This window comes from Homo sapiens, chromosome 17 (genome assembly GCF_000001405.40).
Source record: "Homo sapiens chromosome 17, GRCh38.p14 Primary Assembly".
Lineage (NCBI taxonomy): Eukaryota > Metazoa > Chordata > Mammalia > Primates > Hominidae > Homo > Homo sapiens.
This window is the reverse complement of record NC_000017.11, coordinates 50,367,632-50,373,228: the sequence shown is the minus strand read 5'-3', so window position 1 is coordinate 50,373,228 and position 5,597 is coordinate 50,367,632. Positions and strand designations below refer to the sequence as shown.

The 5,597-nt window shown below is 47.4% G+C and overlaps 1 protein-coding gene across 1 annotated transcript, besides 2 other annotated features; it reads left to right on the top strand.

The window, feature by feature from the left end:
* Positions 42 to 511: an enhancer, noted in NCBI's record as "active region_12382". NCBI's record gives its function as "activates an Ori minimal core promoter by ATAC-STARR-seq in GM12878 lymphoblastoid cells {active_cell/tissue: GM12878}" and the evidence as "EXISTENCE:reporter gene assay evidence [ECO:0000049][PMID:35858748]".
* MRPL27 (mitochondrial ribosomal protein L27) lies at positions 45 to 5,362 on the top strand. The gene is made up of 4 exons (NM_016504.3): positions 45 to 98; positions 2,643 to 2,774; positions 3,130 to 3,197; positions 4,931 to 5,362. The coding sequence occupies exons 1-4, from the start codon at positions 59 to 61 to the stop codon at positions 5,135 to 5,137; spliced, it is 447 nt and encodes a 148-aa protein (NP_057588.1). The 5' UTR covers positions 45 to 58; the 3' UTR covers positions 5,138 to 5,362.
* Positions 2,295 to 2,456: a silencer, noted in NCBI's record as "fragment chr17:48448134-48448295 (GRCh37/hg19 assembly coordinates)". NCBI's record gives its function as "represses an EF-1alpha promoter that drives an FKBP-Casp9 reporter gene in an ReSE screen in K562 erythroleukemia cells {active_cell/tissue: K562}" and the evidence as "EXISTENCE:reporter gene assay evidence [ECO:0000049][PMID:32094911]".
* Positions 5,363 to 5,597: the final 235 nt, after the last annotated feature.

Genomic DNA, 5,597 nt, shown 5'->3' with positions numbered 1-5,597 from the left:
AGATCTCCTGATAGCGGAAGTAGAAACTTTTCGAGACCGGAAGTGAGTGATCGAAAGCATGGCGTCGGTGGTGTTGGCGCTGAGGACCCGGACAGCCGGTAATGGGACGCAGTAGTCAGAGCGGGGTGAGGCGGGGAGGCAGAGTGGAGCTCCAGCAGGGAGGGAAGGAGGTGACACTGATCCCCGCGGAGGACCTTGGATGCGAGGGGAAGTGTGTGGGGTACTCCAGGTTTGAGGGACGGTGTCGCTGGTCACGTGACACATCCTGGGTGGAGCCGTGAGTGAGGGCGTTTGAAGAGCACTTGTCTTTCTCCTGCCTCAGCAGCACGGACGGGTTCCTTGGCGGTTGGGGATTTGGGTGGGTCCTTTCTCTGTAGAAGTATTAGTAACATTGGCATATTGGGGTTGAAAAAATTAATCTATTGATTCAGCAGATTGAGGTCTTACTTTGTGCTAGACACGGCGGTAGGTGTTCGGAAAATCAGCAGAAAACGTGAAGACTTGGCTTCTAGCCCCCGAACGGTTCTCTCTGGTGCATAAGGCAATAAATGAACATATAAAGTAGATGTAGACTGGCAAGTGCTGTGAAGAAGGATAATGTGTGTCTGTGTGTGTGTCTTTTTTTAGATTGGACGGTGAAGGAAGGCTTCTGAGGAGATAACATTTAAAACCTAAAGAATGACAGGCGGGGCGTGATGGCTCACGCCTGTAGTCCCAACACTTTGGGAGGCCTAGGTGGGCGGATCGCTTGAGCCCAGGAGTTCAAGACCGACTGGGCAACATGGCAAAACCCCATCTCTACAAAAAATACAAAAATTAGCTGGGTGTAGTGGCGCTTGCCTGTGGTCTCAGATACTCAGGAGGCTGAGGTGGGAGGATCACCTGAGCTCGGGAGGTCGAGGTTGCAGTGAGCTATGTTCATACCACTGCACTCCAGCCTGGGTGACAGAATGGGGCCCTATCCCCCCCCCCCAAAAAAAAAAGAATGACAGGAGACCTAGACCTGTGTAGAGTGAGGGACAGGAGAGTGACTTGAGCCAGTTTTACATTTTGAGAAGCAAACTATTGCTCTTATGTAAATTTAAAGGGGATAGGAGTGGAAATGAGGAAATCAAATGGAAAGTCGTAATAGCCCTGAGGAGAGATGATTTAGCCAAGATGTTTGTGGTGGCAGTGAACTTGGAGGAAAACGGATGAATTTGAGATCTGTTTTGGAGTTAGCATCCACAGAGCTTGCTGGTGAACAATATGTGAGGACAGCAAAGAGAAGGAATCTGCAATGACTCTGGTTTCTGCCTAAGCAACTGGATGAATGGTGGTACCATTTACTTTGAGGAGGAGGATGGGGAGTAGGGTGAAGAGCAAAGATTTGTGAGTGAGATAATGTAAGTAAAGTAAAAGCCCAGCTCCTGAGCTTAGTAAGTATGTAAATGAATGAATAGATGTTTAAAGGTAGGTAGATCCTGGCGCCGGGCATGTTTTAACATGTTGTCTTTCTGAGTCCTTATCTCTGGTCCTTTGCCCCAGCTAGTCTCTGGTGTCATGGAAATGTCAGAAACCCAGGCTTCAGGAACTCTGAACTTATAGGCTCCAGAGACCCACAAGGCTTCTCTAAAGACACTGGCATGGACCTTAAATCATGGCTGTGTCTGGAGACCTGCAGGCAAGGAGTTGCACCCCTAGGCTTGTCATACAGCAAGGGACTACCATCTTAGTATGAATTTTAGTTCATTTTACTTCTGCAAATGAATGCTATTGAGCACTTTGGAATGAGTATGGAGAGGTCAGATTAACAAGGGCAGTGTGTGGGTCATGGTTGGACCTCTGCTTGATGTGCTTTGAGAAGAAAGGGCCCAGCCTTCTGAAATGGCCAGGACCCTGTGGGAGCCACTTTTAGGCCAGCCATCCTTTTGGTTTACTAGTATTTGGTGAGCAGTGGATGAGTGGACAGCTGAGAAAGTCATGGGTGAGGCCTGTAATCCCAACACTTTGGGATCACCTGAGGTCAGGAGTTCGAGACCAGCCTGGCTAACATGGTGAAACCCCGTTTCTACTAAAAATACGAAAAATTAGCTGGGCGTGGTGGCGTACACCTGTAATCCCAGCTACTTGGGAGGCTGAGGCAGGAGAATCGCTTGAATCCGGGACGCGGAGGTTGCAGGGAGCCAGGACTATGCCATTGCACTCCAGCTTGGGCAACAAGAGTGAAGCTCCGTCTTTAAAAAAAAAAAAGAAAGAAAGTCGTGGGTGAGCCTGAAACCGAAGCCTTTCTGGATGTACTGGGCTCCCCAAGTCTGTTCTGGCCCCTCCGTGGTGCATGAGGGTGAGTGAGCCTCTGAAGCAGGCAGCTCTCTGGTGTCCATTTCTCCTCAGCACATTTAGACTGAATGTGTCAGAACCCAGAACACATGATGTTTATTTTTTTCCATTTGTGTTTCACTGCTCCCCCGCCCCCTCCCCCAAAAGGAGAAAGCCAAGGACTTAGAGGTATTCCCTGAGAACTAATACACTCAGTGGCACTTCTGCTCCCCTGACACAGCTTTCTCATCTCCCCACCGCCTCTCACGTATCAGCATGTGGCCCATTGAGGCAGAAATAGTTTGAGCCTGTCTGTCTGAACAATGTTTCTGTTTTCTCTGCAGTTACATCCTTGCTAAGCCCCACTCCGGCTACAGCTCTTGCTGTCAGATACGCATCCAAGAAGTCGGGTGGTAGCTCCAAAAACCTCGGTGGAAAGTCATCAGGCAGACGCCAAGGCATTAAGAAAATGGAAGGTGAGGATGTGCCTTGGCTTCCCCTTCCTAGCTGCACCCTGTCCTCATGTTCCTTAGGAGAGCAGAAGAACCCTGCGTGTGCCTGGCCCTGTTCTTCCTTACCATCATAATTGGCTCCAGTTTAAAGGAACGGATAAGACCTGAGGAAGGGTCATCGAGTGGGTGGGTGTGAGCCATAACCATGCAATTAGAGACAAGAGCTGCTGGGTGGCAGATCCTGCGCTGCTTGTGTTGGACTGTCTGGGAGTTGTTTTTGGCCAGGGGCAGGCTTGGAGGTTGGTGTGCAGCATTTGGGCCATCATGTTTTCTTGGTAGTTTGCTATGCTGCCCCAGTCACTGTGGACTTCTCTTCTAGGTCACTATGTTCATGCTGGGAACATCATTGCAACACAGCGCCATTTCCGCTGGCACCCAGGTGCCCATGTGAGTTGCTCCGTTGCTGCCCCCCTTTTTCCTTTTCTAGGTTGACCTCTCCTTGCCCCTAAGCATGGTAATAACAGTTGCATGTATTGAGTGCTTACCAAATGGCAAGCATTGTGCTGATTCCCATGCCTACACGATCTCATTTCTTCCTTACCACATCCCTGTAAGTAAGGTGAAATGCCAGAGACCTAGACGGGGTGGAAGGAGCAAGTGACTGCTGGGATTTGCACCAGGTCTGCCTAACTCCCAGATCACTATGATTTGCCCTGGTGTTGCATTGGCCTGGTATTCTTGGTTCTCCTTTCTAACCCTCAGTTCTTGGAGGACAAGATACCTGGTGATTTAAAATATTATTTTAGTCTTGGGAAACTAATTTCAATTTATTAGTTTTTCATTATTCTAAGACTTCTTCCTTTGTATAAACTTACTTGCAGATGGTTGAAAGATAGCTTGAATTTAATGAAATAGAATTCAGTGTGCCAGGAGTTAGGTTCATACCAGGTGGGGATTTCAGTTTCAGCAAGTTGGCATCATTTTTATAGGGTAGGACAGTTCTTTGTTACAGAGACATAACGATACTGTACTCTCCACATTATTTTAAATATTAGTTGCCTTTGTAAACAGTTTCCCCTCCCCCACCCCTTTTTCGATAATTTTAGTAGGTACAAAAAGGTTGATAGTAACCTGTATTTATTTCAAAGATGCTAATTTGTATGTGAATTGATTATGTATGTAGTAGCTTTTTACCTTTTAGAACTTAAGACATTAGATGTGTGGCTATGTCAACAATAATAATCAAAGCTAACACATTTTGAGCTAGACAGTATTCTAGGCCCTTTATGATTGTTGAGCATTAATCCTCAAAATGACCCTGTAAAATAGTTAATATTATCCCCATTTGACAGACGAAAAAATAGAGGCACAGTGAAGTAACTTGCCTAAGACCACACAGGAGTAAGTAGCAGTGCTGGTATTTGAACCAGGCATCCTGGCTCCAGAGCCCATTCTTTTAATCAGAGAGACAGAGAATAATGCTGGACTACCTGGGTAAAATTTGCCACACACCCAGCCTGAAGTTCTAAAAGAAAAAGCTAAAAAATATGGTTAAAAACTGTATATACAACACAGTTTAATCTCTCTGCTTCATATTTCACATCTGAAAAGTGGCGTTGGAAATAATACCTCTTTCACTAGGTGAGAATTAAATGACTTAATGTGTATTAAAGGGCTTACATGGGTATTAGCTAATGCAGTAGTATGATTGTTTTATTAGCATATGCATTATCCATATAGCTTTGGTTTATATTTTCCATAGAGCCTAAACTTTATAGATCACTATCTAAATGAAAATTTACATCAAACTAGTGTTTTAATATGACAGTTCTAGTGTTGTTTAAGTCTAAGTGAAGATTTAGGGCATCTTCCTGGGTTTTGGGATTTGTGCAGTGTGGCTTCTGACCAGCTGCATAGACATGGCTCCAGGTAACAGTCCCTGGGACTGAGCAGTGGCCCATGTTGGCTGTTGGAGCTTTCTTTTCCCTCATTTGTTATGAGTCAATAAAGAAGCAGAAGGTTTGGACGTGCTAGCCAGTGGGAAAGGGAACCTGAGATGGAGCTCTCTGATCACCCTTTCAGCCCCAGGGCCCGGCTCTGTGTGAGAAGTCTGTCCCAAAATTCTGGGACGGACCACCTCGCTGACCAGCTGACCAGCTGACCAGGTCTGTGTGTTGCAGGTGGGTGTTGGGAAGAATAAATGTCTGTATGCCCTGGAAGAGGGGATAGTCCGCTACACTAAGGAGGTCTACGTGCCTCATCCCAGAAACACGGAGGCTGTGGATCTGATCACCAGGCTGCCCAAGGGTGCTGTGCTCTACAAGACTTTTGTCCACGTGGTTCCTGCCAAGCCTGAGGGCACCTTCAAACTGGTAGCTATGCTTTGATGTCCTGTTGAGGCCATCGGACAGAGACTGGAGCCCAGGTGACAGGAGATGGTGATACCAGAAGTCAAGGGTTGGGGTGGCGACACGGCCTCCCGAGGAAGAGGTCTGCTTGATGGTGACTCTGCAGGAGACTCTGAAGTGACTGCTGGGAAACCCTTTGGGAGACCTGACCTGGGGCCAAAAATAAAGTGAGCCAGCGTCATGAACGCATGCTATTTAGGGACACACCTGGATGGAACTGCCTGGTGATCTGTTGGTCCTTACCCAGGTTCTCTAGTGCACACCAACGGGGAGCCTCAAAGCAGGAAAGAACATATCTGAGTGAGGAAATGAGAAGGGGGGACTTTGTAGGAGGGACTTGCTTTGGCACTGTCCTCCAGAGGGGGAGGAGGGGAGCTTGTGCTTGAGGGTGTCATTGCTGCTTCTCCTCTTAGATCCCAAAAAAGGCCAAGGGCTGGGC